The sequence below is a fragment of the Homo sapiens genome, chromosome 11, assembly GCF_000001405.40.
Source record: "Homo sapiens chromosome 11, GRCh38.p14 Primary Assembly".
NCBI lineage: Eukaryota > Metazoa > Chordata > Mammalia > Primates > Hominidae > Homo > Homo sapiens.
In genome coordinates, this window is record NC_000011.10 from 119,708,524 (window position 1) to 119,728,098 (window position 19,575).

At 54.6% G+C, this 19,575-nt stretch overlaps 1 protein-coding gene and 1 long non-coding RNA gene across 4 annotated transcripts in view, besides 4 other annotated features; one reads left to right on the forward strand and one right to left on the reverse strand.

Annotated features, from left to right (window-relative positions):
- The window catches only part of NECTIN1 (nectin cell adhesion molecule 1), a 91,103-nt gene that overhangs the window by 70,426 nt on the left and 1,102 nt on the right, over positions 1-19,575 (reverse strand). The window lies entirely within an intron of this gene.
- Positions 1,397-5,402, forward strand: NECTIN1-AS1 (NECTIN1 antisense RNA 1). The gene is made up of 3 exons (NR_183634.1): positions 1,397-1,507; positions 4,369-4,489; positions 5,076-5,402. It is a non-coding gene; the product is annotated as an NECTIN1 antisense RNA 1 (long non-coding RNA).
- Positions 5,724-6,364: an enhancer, noted in NCBI's record as "H3K27ac-H3K4me1 hESC enhancer chr11:119584957-119585597 (GRCh37/hg19 assembly coordinates)". NCBI's record gives its function as "activates a minimal SCP1, AML or CMV promoter by ChIP-STARR-seq in primed H9 embryonic stem cells {active_cell/tissue: H9 hESC(primed)}" and the evidence as "EXISTENCE:reporter gene assay evidence [ECO:0000049][PMID:30033119]".
- Positions 9,406-10,179: an enhancer, noted in NCBI's record as "H3K4me1 hESC enhancer chr11:119588639-119589412 (GRCh37/hg19 assembly coordinates)". NCBI's record gives its function as "activates a minimal SCP1, AML or CMV promoter by ChIP-STARR-seq in naive H9 embryonic stem cells {active_cell/tissue: H9 hESC(naive)}" and the evidence as "EXISTENCE:reporter gene assay evidence [ECO:0000049][PMID:30033119]".
- Positions 15,470-15,970: an enhancer, noted in NCBI's record as "H3K4me1 hESC enhancer chr11:119594703-119595203 (GRCh37/hg19 assembly coordinates)". NCBI's record gives its function as "activates a minimal SCP1, AML or CMV promoter by ChIP-STARR-seq in primed H9 embryonic stem cells {active_cell/tissue: H9 hESC(primed)}" and the evidence as "EXISTENCE:reporter gene assay evidence [ECO:0000049][PMID:30033119]".
- Positions 18,259-19,201: an enhancer, noted in NCBI's record as "NANOG-H3K4me1 hESC enhancer chr11:119597492-119598434 (GRCh37/hg19 assembly coordinates)". NCBI's record gives its function as "activates a minimal SCP1, AML or CMV promoter by ChIP-STARR-seq in naive H9 embryonic stem cells {active_cell/tissue: H9 hESC(naive)}" and the evidence as "EXISTENCE:reporter gene assay evidence [ECO:0000049][PMID:30033119]".

The following is a 19,575-nucleotide window of genomic DNA, read 5'->3' on the forward strand; positions in this document are numbered from 1 at the left end:
CCACATACTGTATGATTCCATTTATACGAAATGTCCAGGATAGGCAGATCCATAGACACAGAAAGTAGATGAGTGGTTGTCAGGGGCCGGGGGAGGGAAAATGGGGAGTGACTGCTAATGAATACCGAGGTTCTTTCCGAGGTGATGAAAATGCTGTGGATTAGGCAGTGGTGACGGCCTATTGTGAATATACTAAAGCCACTGACTCGTATACTTCAGGAGGGCGAATTTTGTGGTTTGCGAATTATATCTCAACAAAGACAAAAGAAGAAAAGAGGCACATGAAGAAGGATGGATGATGGCAGGGCTAGGCTGGAGACAAGCAGGCTACCAGAAGACCTCTGCAAGCCTGCAGCACCCCCAAGCGTGGGGGCCCTGGGGTCCCACGGCTCAGCGCAGCTGCTAAGAGCACCGGTCTTCTGAAGTCCAAGACTCAGCTTCCCTCCTCAGGACTGCCCAGGACTGATTCTGCCCAGGACTGATTTTGCTGGGGGAGGGGGCACCGGAGAGATCCTGAGACACTCTACCCCCCACGCCCGCCCACATAGCCAACATATCGCACATATCCTGCATGAGATGCCTGGGACCAGAGCGACAGACGGTCACCTGACAAGCCACACCACCTATTTTTGAAGACAGGCGGGTCCCTTGGTAATAGAACAGGCACGAAGAGGCTTTGCCATAGATGGGGAAATTAGGGCAGAAAATAACACCGTGAAAACAGAACTGTCTGTTCAGAAATAAGAGACCCCCTCACTCATATCCCCAGTGTACCAGGGCCTGTCTCAGCCCCTGAGAATCTGGGATCACCAGCTCCACATCCGGGCCCAGGGCGCCTCTGTCTGCCACGCACTTGCCTGGGCCACTCTGCTACCTGGGGCCGGGGGAGAGCCTGCAGGGGCAGGGGCGCAGAGGAAGCCGAGACTACCCTCTAAAGAGTCCTTTCTGTGGGGCCCTGAGCGTCTGTAACCAGGCTGTGAGGAAGCACTCACTTCCAGGGGTGGAGGTTCAGGGGTTGGGGAAGGGAAGGGCTAGCTCCCTAGTCTGTAAGGGCAGAAGGTGCTCTTGAATGGAAGCAGGGAGGGAGGGGAGCCCCGTGTGGGAAGCCTGAAAGGAGCCTGGGAAAGACTGGGGCTGGGGGCTGGGGGCTGGGAGAGGAGAGTGATGCTCGGGGACTCCCCAACTCTCAGGCAGGGAACAGCTTTATTTTAACTCCGGGTTTGTGGAGAGAGGGCAGGACGAGGCGGAGCGGGTTTGAGGGGGAGGACCTAGCTGGTTTTTCCCAGCATCCCCCAGGCCACTTCTCTCACCACAAACCTCAGTCTCAAGCCACTTGGTTGTCATGGAAACAGGCCGGAATAGAACAGATGGTCTCCACTAGCCAAATTCCAATTAAACAGGGCAGAGATGGATAGGGAAGGGAGTGTGATGTGACGAGGCCGCAGAGAGCTCAGCCCCCAGGATGGACGGGAAACCCTGGGTCACCGTTCTTGGAGGGGGACATCAGGTGGGTAGAGAAAGCTGCCTGGGGGAAGTCACCACCCAGTCACCCCTTCAGTCCTCAAAGGTGGGGGCGTGGTGCTGAGGGAATGTCAGCTTGGGGAGGGGCAGCCACAGCTTTCCATTTACAGAAGCGCTGAAACAGAGCCACATGCACGCACACACGCGCACCCAAGCACACATGTGCAGCTGAACGCTGCGGTATGCACACAGGTCGACATGCTCAGGAACACGCGGGAGCAGTGCGGGAAGGTCAGGCAGAGTCATTGCACAGACACATTCCTCTAACACCGTACAAAGAAAATGCTTTGGAAAACCAAGCAAGCAATTTATTCTCATTTATTTAATAAACAAGTATTAAGAACCTACCAAGTGCCTGCCAGTAGGGCTATAAACACACACACACACACAGCCCTGCATGCGTGTGTATGCATGTGAAGGATATCAAGGACACAGGATAAATTCACTGACATGATCACTGCTACGGTAGGACTGTTCACAAAGTGCCATGATGATACAGGAAGAAATGATGAATGTGGGGAGGAGAATTAGAGAAACAAGAGGTGTCCCACAGGAGGTAAAATTTCACTGGGCTTTGAAGGATGAGTAGGAGTTTGCCAGCTGGTGAAGTAGGGTCCTCCAGGCAGAGGAGACAGGAACAGCAAAGGCATGGTGGACTGAAAGGTCAGAGCTTATGGGATAAGCCCAGTGTGAGAGGAGTTTGAAGTGTAGAGGAGTTCATGGGAGAGAAGACCCCATACAAGTCCTGGTGTGGAGAGTATAATTTCTGACTCAAACACTAACACCCCACACAAAGAACCGTGCCATCACACAGCGCCCGCCTGTCAAACCACACATCCACGCACAACTTCACACACACATAACCGCAGACCTTCCTGGTGCTGATAAATATTGAGCAAATGGAAAAAAGATGATTTTGTTTACTGCAAACAAAATGAGATGGGAGGGGAGGTGTCAAGTAAAAGGAAAGCATCAGAAGTTTTCCTTTCTTGGCATGGGGGTTAAATAGGGTTGCCAAAAAAAAAAAAAAACCAAAAACAGAAAGAAAGGGGCACGGGAGGCTGGCTGGGCACGGTGGCTCATGCCTGTAATCCCAGCACTTTGGGAGGCCAAGGCAGGTGGATTACCTGAGGTCAGGAGTTCGAGACCAGCCTGACTAACATGGTGAAACCCTATCTCTATTAAAAATACAAAAATTAGCCAGGCGTGGTGGTGGGTGCCTGTAATCCCAGCTACTTGGGAGGCTGAGGCAGGAGAATCATTTGAACCCAGGAGGCAGAGATTGCAGTGAGCTGAGATCGTGCCACCGCACTCCAGCCTGGGCAACAGAGTGAGACTCTGTTTCAAAAAAAAAAAAAAGGCATGGAGAAGGAAACCTCACAGCTTATCAGGGTTGTGAAGCCAGCCAGCTCCCATCGGTTTACTGTACATTTATGGGACACCTACTGTGTGCAAGGTGCTGAGCTAGGGCCTGCAGAGATTTTAAGGCTGGGTCCTATCCTTCAAAGAGCTCAGGTGCTGGGTGAGGGGAGGAGAGAAAGTAAATACTAAACAACACAGAAGGGGAAGGGGGGCTGGTGTCTGGGAGCCTCGCATTTCACAGGTGGGTGTGTTGGGGCTCAGCCATCATCAGGAGCCAAGGCCGAGGAGTGCACTGGAGAAGCCAGGAGCAGTTTATTTTGACTGGAACCTAAAATAGGTCCGTGTAAAGTTGTGGGAGTGTAGAGCAGTCAGTGGAAAAGCAGTTTTGGAAAAAGAGGCTGGTTGCAGTGAAGGCCTAGACCAGTGTTTTCTCAACTGGGGTGCTCTTGTCCTCCAGGGAATATTCGGCAATGTCTGAGGACACTTTTTATTGTCACCCTGCACAGGAATGGCTGGATGGGTGTGGTGGTGCTAGGATTGGGGAGGGGTCCTGCAGAAATGGGATAAGAACTCACAGCAAATCAGAGGCAGGGGTGAAGGAGGGAGCCAGGGCTCCGGTGCACAGCAGAACTGGGCTTTCATCACAGAAATGGGAAGAGCTCAGGGAGGGCTGTGTCTTGGGAAGAAGAGGACAAGGGTGGCTCTGGACAAGTTGGGCTTGGACTGCGCACAGGTCAGGCTGAAATCAGAGAGAACAGATTTGGGGGTTGTTCTTTTCAAGTCCCAGTCCACAGGCTGCGGAGGCGCTGGTTTTCTTCCAGGCATGCTCGTGGCTGGGTCTCCCTTGGCTGTCCTGGTCACGTCCCAGCCCACTCCTTCTCAGCCTCCAGGTTTCAGAATCAAGGTCACGGTCCCAGAGAAGCCTCCCCTCCCCTCCCCCAGTTCAGGCCCCCGAGTCTCCACCATAGCCCCGGGCATAGTTTAATCACCTAAGTAAATCTCTGGGGGCTTTGTGCAAAGATCACTTGGGAGACAGGGGCCTCACCTGTTTTGAGGCCAGTTCATCCATCACTACTGTACTCTCAGCCCCAGCACGTGCAAGGCTTAGGACGGGAGAGGGACCCCTCATTCTTTTGCCTCAACCCTTCAAAAAGAGGGAAACTTCAAAATCTTCAAAAAAAAAGGGGAAGGAGGCAACTCCTTTCCCCTTTTCTTCCTCCCTCCCTTTCCCCAGCCACCACAAGGCTTACAAAAGCAGATCTCTGCCCTTGGCGCAATCTTGCAAAAGGGACAGAAACCCAGAAAACAGCCTGACCTTTAACGGAAGCATCCCGGAGTTAGAGATGAAAAATGCCCAGCATCCCCTTTTCTCCTCACCCTAAACTGCCAGTCCTGGAGTCTCCTGGTCTTCAGGTCCCCGCTCACGTGCATCAGCCTTTAACCTCAATTCCAGTTGCTTAAAGTATTTTTTTTCTTGACACATAGTGCCTGGCACATAGTAGATGCCCAAAGAACATCTGCTGACTGACCTCACCTAAAGCATTTGGGCAGTTACCCACAGGTGCTCCATGACACCTTCTGGCCAGCAGAAAGGACCTGCAGCCAAGTGAGTCAATGGGTGGGGCGGGTGGCACCGTCAAGGAGGGCACCTGGAGACGCTCTCTGGGTGGCCATGGGGGCCTGCCCTTCCAGCAGGGAATATTTAGGGGCATCCAAGCAGCCTGTGGGGGAGGGTGGTGAAAGCAGGTCACTAATCTCTCTTGGAGATTAAGTACCACACTGGCTTTGGAGACCAGAAACCAGCTGGGGGAGGGGGCAGAGGCCTATGGAGGGCTGTGGAGGGACAGAGGGTGAATCTTGCCTGGGAGGTGACAGCCCAGGGCAGGGGTAGGTGTGGGGGCTTCTTTTCTGAGGCCTGGGCAGAGCCTAGAAGGATCTCTAGGGTTGTGGGGTGGAAGGAGAAGCTGAAATTAGGAAGAAAAAACCATCCATGATTTATTAACCAGAGTCACTAATTATTAACCAGTTTGACTCCTGGACTTGAGGCCCCAATTCCTGGCCTCCCCTAGCTTCCAGAGTGTTGAGCTCCCCCAACGTGCCCCGTCTCCCCCCTTCCCCTGCCCCCTCCCCACCCTTACCCCAGACTGTGACTGTCTCTGCCCAGCCTTGCCCTTATCTCCTCTTATCTCCAGGTGCTCTGGTGGCTGCTACTGAACACCAACCGCTACTCTCAGCCTTGGGGGTGACAGGAAAGAATGGGACCGCAGTGATTGAAACTTATTTGGGGCAGGAAGCTTGGCCTGGATGACCTGAGGGGCAGTCATGTCCTCTGGCCCACCCAGTCTTCACTTCTCACCTCCTCACCCCCCGCCCTCTGGAGGGCAGCTCCTATCTCTCCTGGGTTAGCCTCAGAGTTCGGCGAGGGGAGGCACTGTTTGGGGCTACAGTCCTGGGCCCGGCGTTGCTTGCCAGTGAGATGTCTGATGCCAGGGGGGTGCCAAGGAGCAGCAAGCCTGGGGACTTGGGGAGAAACTCTAAACAGAGTCTCCTGGGCTTTGGGGGCAAGGGATGCTGCAGACCCTGAGTGGCCCCCCCCTTGGTATTCAGGACAGAGGCTTCTGAGTTGCTCTGAGGGTACATCGAAGCTCAGATTCTCCAGGGGTAAGAGATTCTTTCAGCCATTGCTGCAGGAACCCCAACTCAGTCAGTCCCACCAAAGAAGCAAAGAGGCAGGAGCGGCAGCCTCTGGGTGGGCCCCTATTGAGGGGCAGCCAGGGCCTGCCTGGGGGTTGTGTTAGAGCCTGGATGGCACTCATGAGCCACCTGTGGGGTGGTGGCCCCTGGACTTCCAACTGCAGAATGTGCCTCTGTATCCCAATGCCAAAAGCGGGGTGCCTCACCCTGACACATGCTGTGGCTCGCCCTCCCAGGGCCATGACATGCCACAGAGCCACTGCACCATGGCACGAAGCAGCAACAGGTGACACGGGAGGCTGCCAGGTCACCCCACCTGCAGGATCCCTGTGATGTACCTCCTTCCACGAGTCACCACACCCATCCCCAAGCAGCCCCACATCCATCCCCCATGGCGGTGCAGGCAGGTGGGGAGCACAGCCCAGCCCACCGCAGGGTGAACTGATGCAGGCAGAGGGGAATGCTCCACATCCCCGCTGTCCCCTGCCCTGTCCTGTCCTGCCCACGGTCCCTCTGCATCCTGACCCTCTGCAGTATGCTCCCTCTCCCTGTCCCCTCTCTCCCCATCGCCAACTTAATTCCTTAATTCCTACTGGAGATAAGCGGATCTTTCACTGAAATTTATCATTAATCCTAAGGAAAACAGGGGTGGGAAGGGGGTGGGGGTGGGAAAGGGATAGAGGGAGGTGGGGAAGCTTGGAGGGCCCACCCACACTGCCTCCTCCTAGATCTGGGACAGCTGTGGTGGCTGGGAATCCTAGGCTGACATCCCTGGGCGTGGCAGCCCACATATGGAGCTGTTACTGGGGATCTGAGGGGAGCACCTGAGATGGTGAGGTGTGTGAGACTCAGGAGAGGTGAGACGGGGGCCGAGGCTGTCTGTAAATGCCTGCAGGATCACATGAGCTCCATGCGATTCCAACACTAATGGGAGGGAGCTTCAGGGGGAAGGGGGAGCTGGGGGCAGTCAGGGCTGTCCTGGCTTCCATGGAGGGTGGTGAGTACCCTGTCAGTGGAGGGATTCAGCTGCAGCTGGAGGATGACCAACAGGCCAGAATGTGGTTAGGGGTTTTAGGAAGTGAATGGGGTGCTACAGCATTTGATTTCCCTTCCAATGCTAAGACTCCAGGATTCTCTGACATCCTCTCCACCTTCCCCTGCAGGGCAGGGAGGTACCTTCAGCTGCAGGCCCAGCTGGGAGGCTCTTTCCAGACCTGGGTCTGGGAGAGGAACAAGTGGGCTCAGGTTAGTTTTTTATTTTTATTTTTTTTTAAGATGGAGTTTCACTCTTGTTGCCCAGGCTGGGGTGCAATGGTGTGATCTCGGCTCAGTGCAACCTCCGCCTCCTGGGTTCAAGTGATTCTCCTGCCTCAGCCTCCTGAGTAGCTGGGATTACAGGTGCCCATAACCATGCCTGGCTAATTTTTGTATTTTTAGTAGAGACAGGGTTTCACCATGTTGGCCAGGCTGGTCTCGAACTCCTGACCTCAGGTTATCTACCCGCCTCGGCCTCCCAAAGTGCTAGGACTATAGGTATGAGCCACTGTGCCCAGTGGGCTCAGGTGTTTAACACATCTTGGCAGAATGAAGGAGAATGCAGGCCCCTGCCTAGTGTCACTGTCCCTTCACGTCCAAACAGGATGGCTTAAAGAGACTGAGGCCTGACCCACAAGGCCCTAGCTCCATCTCTCCACCATCCACCCAGGCCTCAACCCGACTAGCATTCCTGCTTGAAAGAGCTGACACCCTCAGGGATCACCTGCTGTGTGTGAGGTCAGAGGTCAGAGCGTGGATGCCATGCAGTGCTGGACTGGATATTATGTTTGTTGCTGTCTACAGCTCCCACCTCTGTGCCTGGCACATGTCGAGTGAATGCCAGGATGAACCTGTCTGCCTCTCCCACAACACATCCAGGGCAGTGGGATTCCTACAGGGACTGGCACTGGGCGCTTGGGGCAGCCAGAATTCTGCACCTTGAGTGAAACCCTTGCTTTCCTTTCAGAAGGGAGCACAGGAGGCACCTGCCCAGGTGATCATCTGGGTTGGGGGGGCGGATCTCCAGTAGCCCAGGGGCCTGAGACTAAGACATACTCTGCTTGCATTGACCACCCTGGAGAAGTCACAGGAGCCCAGCAGAGGGGCTCCCCACAGCGTTCTGGGGCACACACAGCCAGGAGGGTTCCTGGGCCTGGCTTCCCCAGCCCCAGGGAACGGACCCTCCTTCTCCAGACTGGGAGTCCCTCCCAGTGGTAGCTCACAACAGTCCAGCGGTGCGAAGGCTTTCCCTGGATCAAGCAAATTATTGCTTGTGCTAAGCACACCACATATGTTATTCGCCCCTTCCAGCCTCTTATCATCTCATCCCATTGTACAGCTAGGGGAACTTGTTTAGAGAAGACACAGATACACCCGCTGACACAGGTAAGTCATAAAAGACTGAGATCATTTGACTCCAAAATAACCACTGGGTTCAGTCAATTTCTTGGGGAAAAATAGTCAAACTAGTTGTTTGTGACCCTGTAGACAAAACAATGATCTAAGACTGACCTTCGCCGGTTCTCTAACTGGCGGCTGGGGGGCAGTGTAGACCTTGCCCGGACAGTCATCATCTTTGATTGGCTCCCCCTCCTTCTCCACCCACCCTTAGTAGCCAGGCTGTGCCCCCAACCCCAGGAGGGGGGTGAGGGCCCCCTACCTGTGTGTGGGAGAAGATGGCGATCAGAGTCTAATCAGAAGCAGGCGCGTGCACACGCGCGCGCACGCACGCACGCACACACACACAGCACGTGACCTCATACACGCACACACACCATAAACCTTCCTCATACACACACAGAGGACATAAAAACACTTGTAAAGAAACACATAAACCAGCACAGATTATCATTACAGCGCAAACTGTGTACACAAGTGCCGAGGGGCTAGCAGTAATGGAGTGATGGGAGATGAGAGAGGGTAATGGGGATATTTCCTGGGAAGGGTGTTTGTGAGCAGAGCTTGGGGAGGAGGCCAGAAAGACTCTGCAGCAGCACTGAGAGGTGGGCGCCGAGGACTGATGCTCTCTCCCTCTTCCATCATCACCGCCCCTTCAGGACTGGCCACGAGGCCCATCATCTGACCCCTGGGAGGGTGGGGAACGGTGCTGTGGTCAGGGCAGAGGCAGGCCGGGAGCAGGGGGCTGTCGCACACGTTCCCCCAAAGGCCTATCCATCACGCCAGTGGAGACCATCAGAGTGCTCTGCCGGCCCAGGACACTGATGACTCTCCAGGCACCATAAAGACAGGGAATAAATCTGGGAAGTTGCTGGGTAGGAGGGTGCCTCAACGGCAGGGCTGGCCACCCTGCCCGGGAAGGGAGAGGCAGCCCCTCCATCATTCTGAGAGATGCAGCAATCTAGGCCAATGAGATTGGGACAGTTCAGGGGGTGGGGGAGGTGGGCAATCACGATAAAATAATCCAGTGCAGTGTGGCTGCTCCGCTCCAGTGTTATTTACAGTGTTATTTACACTCAGGGAGATGCCTGTCCCTGCCTCCGCTCCAATTTATGCCTAGGAGTTGCTGCAGAAAGCCTCTGCCACTGATTCAAAACCCTCAAAGGGGCCCGGTCCCAGAGGGCAGAGGAGAGGGACATAAAAGTGGCTAAGCTTGGGAGCCCGGCAGGCACCTGCAGGCCCGGGGGTAGGGGGGCTCTGGGCAATGCTGGTCCCTTCGTGCTGGCTGGGCAATGCTCCGGCTTGGATGGGAGTCAGGCAGGTCCTATGCCCTCCTTCCTCCTGTTGCTTCCAAGCACTTCCTAGGTGCAGGGCAGATCCAGCCCCAGGAGCTGATCACATAGCTCTGGCTTGTGTCTGGGCCACAGAGGCCGCGCGGTAATTCAAGCTAACGGAGCATGGATAATCTAGAACAGCGGAGGGTCTAGGAGGAATTTCGCTTTGGCGTCGACACAGATCAGATGACTGTTTTGCAGCCGAATTACCTTCCTAATTAAGCAAGAGAGTCTGTGAGGCCTGAGCCTGCATGGTGACCTGCAGGGTCAGGGTGTGCTGGGAGGAGCATCACCCTGGGTGACCCTCGAGAGGACAATCTGCACAGGGACTGTCTGAAGTCAACTCCCAGTCCTCAGCCACAACCCTGGGGAAGGGCTTTGATTTTTCTGCCCCCGTGATCTTCTTCCCTGGGATAGTTCTCTGCCCTCGCCTATGAAGCTGAGGACGCCTGGACCCAGGATCAATGCCTCTCTCCCCAGCTTGCTGTCCTGATCCTGCCTGGGGCAGAGGAAGCACCAGCCCTTTCATCCCAGGAGATCAAAGCAGCCGGCCCAGGAGAACACCCTAAATCCTTTTCCCCATCCACACTCCCTAGTAGGGGCCCTCCCTTGCCATCTTTTGGGATCTCTGGGTGAGGGCAAGAGGGCCTGAAACCTTCCAGAAGTTTAGAACAGGCTCTGGCATAGGATCAGCTTGCTGAGCCCTGGATCCACCCAGGATCTGGGGCTGGCCTGGGAACACGCGCTGGGGGACCAGGCAGATTCTCTCCGAGGAGCTACTATACCTGCCTCTGGTCTCACCGTGAGACATGGTGTGTGTGAGGGGGCCCAAATGGTATCAGTGATGCCCAAAGACTCAGGAGATGCAATAGTGATAACTTCAAGACATTCCACTCTGGCACAGCCACATGAATACTCCCAAGACACAACAGTGTCTGTGGCAGGATATACCAGTAATACAGGTTGAATATCCCTTATCCCTAATGCTTGAGACCCAAAGTGTTTCAGACTTCAAATTTGTTCAGATTTTGTAATATCTGTATACATGAAATGTTATCTTGGGGATGGGACCCAAGTCTAAACATGAAATTTCATTTCTATTTCATATACACCTTATACACATAGGCTGAAGGTAATTTTATACAGTGGCTTTAATAATTCTGTGGATGAAATAATGTTTTGACTGCCTTTGGATTGCGACCCTTCAGGAGGATAAGTGTGGAATTTTCCACTTGTGGCGTCATGTCGGCCTCCAAAAGCTTCGGATTTTGGATTAGGGATGTTCAACCTGCGCCAAGACTCTCTGAAGATTCAGCACTAATAACTCCCCAAATGCATCAGGCATGGACAACTACAACACCAGGTTATCGCTGCACCACTGAAGGGACAGGAATGTGAATAAGAAGGTGCTATGCAGGGGTGGGAAGAGATTCTGGAAGCAAAGTCTTGTGAGGACTCCAGGCTTAGGAAATGGTCTTCCTCCATCACCTGTCTGCCACCCGCCAGGAAGAGAGGCAGCTCAGCCACATGGTATAAACACGGACATGGGGCCTGACTTCTGGAATCAGAATCCTGGCTCTGCCACTTACTAGCTGCGTGACCCTGGGCAAGTTACCTAAGCTCTATCTGGGCCTCATTTTTCCATATATAAAACTGGGGAGAACAGAAGTACCTTCCATATGAGTTGTTATGAAGATTAACTAAGTGATTACATGTAAGATGTTTACAACAGTGCCTGGCATCCAGGGATTCTCCATACAAGTGTGTTATTATTATCCTCATCAATGTTTCAAACAAGCAACTGTCTATCCACCCAGCATGGCCTACTGGTCCCCTATGCCAGGCCCTGGAGAAACCAAGCCTCATCAGCAATGGAGCTCTCAGTCTTGTGATGAAGATAAATCCCAGGCCCAAGTGACTGGATAGCAGGATGGAGAGTAATTGTTGGCAGGGGGTGGCATGGATGAGGCGCTGGGGGATTTGAGATGAGAGAAGTTATCCTTAGCTTGCGGGGGGAGCGGGTCATGAAAGCTTCACAATAGAAGTGGCTCTTGACTTCAGTATTCAGATTTCATATTTATGGGAAATAAGCGGGAATGGGGGAACAGCATGTGCAAAGGCACGGAGGCAGGAAAGCGCTGGGCATGGAAAGCATGGTGTGCGGGGGAGGGCAGTGGGGGACCAGTTAGGGTGGTGCTGTGCCCCCTCAGATGTGCTTTAGGTGGATTCACCCAAGGAGCAGTGTGGGCAGACTGGAGCAGCAGACTGAGGATGTGCCACCATCCTCCCCTGCAGTGGGACCCACATGACGTGGTGGCAGAGCTGGCTAGGACCAGAGGCACCTCCTCCACTGCCCTTGTCCTAGCACCTGACAGCATTTGTCCACAAGACGCGGGGACTGAGGGAGAAGGTGCATGGGGCACAGAGAACAGTCACAGCAGCTGCCTCCCCAGTCCTGCCCGGGGCATGTACCCCAGACCAGCTGCTGGCAGGCCCTCACAGGGGCACTCCACGAGCCCACGCAATCCTTCAGTCCCCCTTCCTCCACAGCAGGGCAGACTCACATCTGCCCCAGCAGATTGGCGCTCCCATCTCCACTGACTCATTTGGCAGGCACCTGCGAAAGCGTGGGCTGACCCGTGTGGCCCCCCATGGGAGCACCCCGCGTGAGCCTGTGTGTGCTAAAAGCCAGTTATTTGGGCGTGGTGCTCATTTTCCTTCACAAGCCTGAGGCATCGAGAAGGGACACGCTTGCCTTGGCTCCTGTCTTGTTTTTCATGGACACCTCCTTCAAGCCATGGCGGCGTTCTGATGACCAGCAGGTATGCAGGCTTGCAGGGGAGGGACGCAAAGCAGAGGGGAAGGTACAGGCAGAGAGAAGGCTGCCGGTCAGCAGGCACCAGAATCTGCTAAGAAAGAAATCCTCCTGTCTTTGGTGGGAAGAACCACAAGATGGAATCCAAGGCCCCAGCACAATGACTGAGGACAAGGAACGCGAGCTGGGGAGGGGTGGGACTAGGAAGCCCCTGCCAAGGCTACCTGCTGGCTCTCCGTAGTGGCTGGCTCTTTCAGCCATCGGTGAAACTCCATCTATAGGTGAGGGGAAATGCTTCCTCTCTAGGGTCCCCAACTCCCTACATTTGCTTTTCAGACAGAAAGACAGGCCAAGATTCAGGCCAAGGCTGTTGCGAGGACTCCAGAGTCCATCTCTGGTGCTAGGGCGTATATCTCAGAGCACATCCAGATGTACTGAGTGTGGGAGGCTGTTCTGTCCCCTGTCCCCAAGGGCCTTCCTCCATGGAATGATGATTTGCTGAGCTTCCACCCAGCTCCTCCCGGAGAAGGCCGGCTCCCCAGAACAGCCCTGGAGGGAGCTGTGTCCTCCTCTTCAGGCAGGGGGCAGAACTGAGCATCCAAGTGGGTGGGCAGGACACACATTTCCAGCTTTGGGAAGCAAGAATTCCAGGACTTTGTGGGGAGGGACTCCATTTAAGCCCATAGCTTGAACTCAGACTCCCAGTGGGACATTCTGGTGCCCAAGGCCACTGGCCTGTTTTGCTGCCTGGGCCACGCCCGCAGCTGTGTCCCAACTCCCGAAGCTGTGTCCCTGTGGAGCCACCAGCCAGTGGAACTAATGTCCTCTAATGAGATCCAGGCCAGAGTGGCCAGGAGGGTTTTATTGTCTGTGGTTTGGTAATGAGACTCCTCATAAACTGAGAATGAAATTGGGGTCTGTGCTGACCAGAGTGGGTGGGGGATAGTCCAGGAGAGGGCCAGCCCCCGTGCCTGTCTGCTGCTCTGTCTAGTCCACACCTGCTCTCTGCTCCGGGCCAGGCCCACACCCTGGCACTGTGCCTGCCTGTGCCCCAGGGCTCCGTGCTCACACCTCAGGGGCCCTGCCCATGTCTCAGCCCAGATACCCAGAGACAGATGCTCCAGGACACTGCTTCCCTGGCCCCCAGGAACGTTCCATTGTTAGGCATCCTCTATTCTACACCAACCTGGGCTCTGTGGTCAGCTCTGGCTGGGCCACCCTCCAACCTATATCCTCAACTTATTACTCACTTCCCCAGGGAGCTGCCAGGCTCTGCCCTGCTGTAGGAGGCGTGTGAGCTGGTGGTGGCTGGTAAAGTGGAGGACCGTCCCATGGACACTTTCTAACATCCTACTGGCCTGGTTCATCCTCTTCCGTCTGTCCATTCCCGATCTTTTCATCCTTCTGGTTTACTGGATTTGCAGTCAGAAGACCCAGTGTCTAATTTGGCCACAAGAGCATAAGACGGTCAGCAAATTACTAAACCTAGGTCTTACTCTCCTCATCTCTAAAATGGAACTAATACAACACTAATGCCATTCACATGGGGCTCCTGAGAGGCTCAGCTGAAACTGTGGCTATAGAGTGCCACAGACAGTATTATGACAATTTGCAAAAGGATTCAGTCTGTAACAGGAGGCTGAAGGGACTTTCTGCCAGTGAGAAGGAGGTGACCCCAGCAGGGATTCTCTACCCATCTGGCTGATATCATCTCACGGGGTGAGTGGAGTCCTGGAGGGATGGTGCTGTGGTCCATCTTCCCCTCAAATGTGGAAGTGAAAGAAGGCAGGGGCTGAGTCCCAGGCCCTCTCTATGGCCACGGCTAGCCTCCAGATGGGCAATGGTGCCCCAGCTGGGCCACAGCCAGGGAGCGAGGCAGGTGCCGGGAGAGCCCTCAGTGACAGGCGGCAGAACAAAGGCCACCCAGCACCTGCTGCCTAGGTAGCCCTCAACCACCTCAGCTGAACCTGTGCATTACCCACAGGCAGCCAGGCTCCCGAGTGGGGGCAGGGACTCGCTTCCCAAGTAGCACCTGGCTGGGGACACGGGAAGTGAGGTCAGCAGTGCGCAGGCAGCTGAGTGGCTCTTTCTCAAGGGAACACGAGTAGCAGACTCAGAGGGGCCAGGACCATTGAGAGGGAAGGCATAGGGGATAGAAGTTCACTTCACTGCATGTGTTCACATGCCTGGCAATGTGCTACGCACTTTTCATACAACATTCTCAATCTCATCTTCACAAACCTCTTTGGGCATCTGTATTAACAAAAACCTATTTTAAAGATACGAAAACTTTGGGAGGCTGAGGTGAGCGGATCATGAGATCAGGAGACTGAGACCATCCTGGCTAACAGGGTGAAACCCCGTCTCTACTAAAAATACAAAAAAAATTAGCCAGGTGTGGTGGCACCTGCCTGTAGTCCCAGCTACTCGGGAGGCTGAGGCAGAAGAATCGCTTGAACCCAGGAGGCAGAGGTTGCAGTGAGCTGAGATCTTGCCACTGCACTCCAGCCTGGGGGAGAGCGAGACTCTGTCTCAAAAAAAAAAAAAAAAAAAAAAAAAGGGAAAACTGAGGCCTGTAAAGTGACTTGACCAAGGTCACTCAGCTAGTAATTGGTAGAGGTGGGATTCCAACCCAGGCCAGTGGGCCCCAATTTGCAATCTCATTATGCTGGGCTGCCAAGATGGAGTGATCATCAGGTTGTAGGGAGAGGAACTGAGCTGTCTGCTGCTCTCCCTCCACCAGGGCCTGGGACCACTGCTGCTCTGCTCTCTCCTGGGAGGCTGTGAAAGGCAGACCTCCCACTAGCTGCCCCCGCCTGAGAATACATACCTATTGCCTCCCCAGCCCCCACCCAGGGCAAACCTGGGATAATCTATTGCCCTGAAGATTCTACAATCTGCTGTCAGAAAGTCTGTCTTTGTGTCCATCTCGGGTCTCTCCTGTTACACTGAGTTCATCTCTCCTTGTGGAATGGGGTGAGGTACAGATATTATGTTCCATGTGTTTTCTCATATCTCTTCCCTTTCTCCATCTCCTAGCCCCCAACAGCACGAGAGAATCCAGAGCTTAAAGAGTTAACTGGACTAAAGGGTGTTATCTCCAGCTCAGGGCATTCCCTCTGCAAGGTGATCCGTGCTCAGATCTTAAGTTACCTCCTGCCCCAGCCAGCACATCTGCTGCTGGCTCTGCAGACCTGGTCTCTGTGGACAGCGGTGGGCATCATGGGGAAACGTTTTCTAGTTGGGCTTGGGCACAGGGTGCTGGGCTCCCAGGACCACCCTCTTCCCCACTCCTTGTCCCTTATTCCCACTTCTTTTTCCAATAAGGGGGCTCCTGCTTTCTGCTGCGTGAACCCAGGATGCTTCCAGGCACACGTATGTTGTCCACCTGGGCACACACAGCTCTGCAGGGCCCTCATGGAGGACCAAAGCTCATGCTCACACCCTTTTTAATTGCCCAGAGTATGCTACCTCCCCTCCCCACACACACCATGATTCTTTTTCTTAAATACCCATGTAGGAAGCAAAGATGCCAAATTAGGAGCTGAAAAACTGCCTCCCTTTGCCCCTCCCAGCCGTTCATGGATCATGAGAACTCGTGGGGCAGGCCAGGCCCCAGGTAATGCCAGGTTCCAGTGCTGCTATGCCTGCCAGGGAGACAACAGAAGGCTGACAAGAGAGGAATATCTCTCCCGGTGTGGTCAAGGTCTTCAGCATCTCCCTGCGAGCAGGCAGAGGCCCAGTCTAAAGCCAAGGGCAGAACAGAAAAAGGAAGCATCATAGAGGCTTCCCACCCCCCAAAGGACCCGGTAGTGTGTCCTAGAAGAGCTAACCAAGGGCAAATCCTGGGTGCCCTCCCAAAGTCACCCTCACCGACACTCTGACACATAAAATAGGCATTCTCAAGTCTGGACCACTCACAGGTCCTAGTCAGAAAACTCTAAGCAGTCAGTTATATGTGAATATACATTCGATGTTATATATTTATGGCCCTAGTCCCATAGTGACCCACAGACACAAGCACATACACCTTCTACTCCTAGTCCCCATAGATGCACACACACACAGTGAATGGTAGATCACCAACACAAACACCAAAGCCCTGTATACCTGTGTGCACACACACACTTTATACTAAAGGTGAGACCCTATGCAGACTGTCAGAAATGTCACAGCTTAAGTTCCACAGCTGGCTCATGACCATTTTAGCCTGGCACACTGGCTAATGTTTAAAGTTTTTTTGTTTTTTGTTTTTTTTAAATCAGCAAAACAGGTGAATATGCTGACACCTCTCTGTCTGTCCCTCTCTGAGGTAGGAGGCATTCAATTCACCAGGTTAACCAGGAAGAGATACAATCGGAAAAATTGAAGATACATTCACACCTCCCTTGGGTATTTTCTGTTTGTGCTGAACAATGAACATTAGTCAGCTGCTAAACAATGGCAGTATCATAGACAGCAACTGGAACTGACCCTCTGCCCCCCAAGCCTGGTCCACTTGCTCAGTCATCAGCACTAGGGTTCTGGCCGGCTCAACCATCCTGAAAACATACAGCAGAGTCCGGGGGTCAAACAGTAGCCAAGGTGGATTCATTGTACAAAGGTGAGTGGCTGAGAAGGGAACCAATAACACTCTTAGCCTCAGCAAGCCTCAGGCAACAAGGGCTACCTGTCCCATATGCTCTGAAGTTCAGGTTCAAGAGATGCCTTCCGGGCCACTCAGCCAGGGCAACTGGGCCCAAGCTCTGCAGTATCTCCTCTTCCCCTCCAGCCTTGACTACGGAGGCCTAGAATCCAATTCCAAGGCACTCCACAGTGCTGCCTTATAAATGGGTAAGGAGATTCCCATTTACACATGCTGCAAACCCCAGGCCAGCAGAATTGGTTTTGCCATAATGCCTTGCCCAGCAAGCTGAAGGACACCACTGTATGTGAGAAATAGAGAGAGAGGAAGGAAAATAACCCAATAGCCCCGACACTTGGAATTTCAAAGACCACATGGCAGCAAGCTCTGCACAAGCTGCAGAGAGAGGCTGCAGAGAGGGGTGTGCTGTGACCCGACAGGTCTTCCGAGGGTGTGCATGACACCTGGGGTGTGTGTTCTCTTTCCAGACAAAAGGTGTGGGGAAGCCAATTAGGGAGGGTGTGGTGTAGGTGGGACAACAGCTCGACACACCTGCTTCTCAAGCAGGTCCTCTGCCTCCTCCTAGGGCTCCCCCTATCTCTTTTTGGGATGTAACCCACCTGCCCCACTGACCCTCTCCTCTAAGTTAACAGGAAGAAACTGTGGATTGTCATCTCAGGAAACAGAGGCCTTTGGGGCTTCACCACACTGCTTAGTAAAGTCTGTGTTGTTGAAAACATACTTCTGTGTTTACACTTCAATAGCCAGATTGGGAGTGTTTTGAAGTTGGGGGCAATCACACACACTCCAGGCCCCTCCCTCTTCCTCTCCTCAAACCCCCAGACCCAGGTTCCCTGTCACAGCCCAGGAAAACCCTGAAAAGAGCATCAGACTGGCAAGTCCCTAGAGAGACGCTATAGCGGGCAATGGGGAGGAAGCCAGCAGGTGATGCAAAGTAGGGTGTGGGCTTGCAACTTCTGGGCCAACCAGCCTCCATCCAAGTGTCAGACTGGGCACAACCATATCCACCTGCCTCCCTGCACCCGTGGACCCTAGAGCAAGCAAGCAGAGAAGGCACCAGGAGCCCAGCCACTGGGCAGAGGAGCTGGGCGGTCCGGGAACTTCGGTGCATGGATGCTACCCATCAGTCAATTACAGTCAATGGAAGAGCATTTATTAAGTACCTCTCTCAACCCTGGTTCCTTTCTCTGCATCCCACCCTTTCATGTAGATTTTTGGCAGGGGTTGTATCCACCTTGAGCCAGGTGAGTTCACCTCCCTGCTCCCACTTCCTGAGTGGGTGGAGCACAGCAGGCCTCTAGCCCCCAATGAAGGAATTAACCATGAAGGAATCACAAAGCTGGGGAAAGAGAATAACAAAAGGAAGGAGAATAGGGTGAGTTCCTTCCCCTTCTCCCAACCCTTCCCACCACCCTTTGTCCATCCCAGGATTACGTTAACCCCTAGTGTGCTGGACCAACCAGAGCTCTGGGAAGCTCTCGTTTCTCTGGGTTCCGGATGTGGACATATGTAATTGAAGGGTTCCTGGAAGCTCAAATCCCCATGGCCAGGCAAGTCCTAGAGCCCGAACTTCTGTATCTCTGGCTGGCTTCCCAGGCCATCCAGTGTGAGAAGACCTCTCACTCTCACCAAGACCACCCTCTGGGGGCAGGGTGGGCAGTGACACCTGTGAGCCCTGGATTTTCCCCACCCCCCACATCGAGCAGGGCAGCACCCCAGGCTTCACGGGTGGAGGCACCCCAGTACTGGCTTTCACAAACTGCTTCCCAGACATCCACCACTTAGTGAGATTGGCGGGGCCCTCGTAGTGAGCTGGCTGGCAGCAGAAGAGGCATAGAAGGGAATGAGGCCAGGCTTCTGCCTTCCAGGAGTGCACCCTAGCCCCGGAACTAGGCAGCCAGACTGTTCCCTCGATAACAAACTGCCTGGCCATTCTGCGGCAAAGCACATTGCAGGAACTCGGGATCTAATATTCCTGCCCCACGAGGAGATGGTCTCTGTACACTGACCCCCTATTCTGCCACCCCAAGGCGGGGACCACGTGCTCCAGTCAAGATCCGCCCCCCTCCCCAAAATCCCATCTTGCTAGAGCTGCAGGTCGTCTCTGGTTTCTACCCAGAGAGCTGGAGGAACTCCCCACACCCCTTGACCCACGCTTGGTGTCCAGTCAGCCGGCGAGCTCGGCAGCTTCCCCAGGGACACAAAGGGTTAAATCCAGGCGAGGGGACTCGGTCGGATTTGCCTCCTAAACGCATTTTCCAGTTCATTCCCCAGCACAATATGCCTGGGCTGGTCCCAGCCTCCGTCCCCACCCCACCCGTCAGAATGGGCCACCAGGGCCACCCCGGGGTCGGGCGCGAGGTTAACCCCTCGGCTGCCGGCAGCCCGCACCTCGAGGAAGGACACGCGGGGCACCCTCGGGAAAGTGGGTCATGCAGCTACTTGGATGGCAGGAAGCCCGCGGTGTCTCCTCCAGGGAGAGCCCCCAGAGCTGGGAGCAGAGTTCCGAGGGGGAGCCCGGTCCCGCGCCAGGCCGGGAGGAGGCTGCCCCGGCCTCACCCTCCAGGAAAGGAACCGCAGGTGAGCGAGGAGCCGCCTCTGCCGCAGCAGCCGACTCTCCGCGCCCGCTGTGGGGCGGTGTGGGGCGGGAGGGGGCCCGAGCGTCCTGAGCCGTCTGGCAAAGGGGCCGCCGAAAGAGACGAAGCCCCCCCGCCATACTCCAAACCCGCAGCTCCGAGACTGACGCCCTCCCCCTGGGGCTGTTGTCTCCC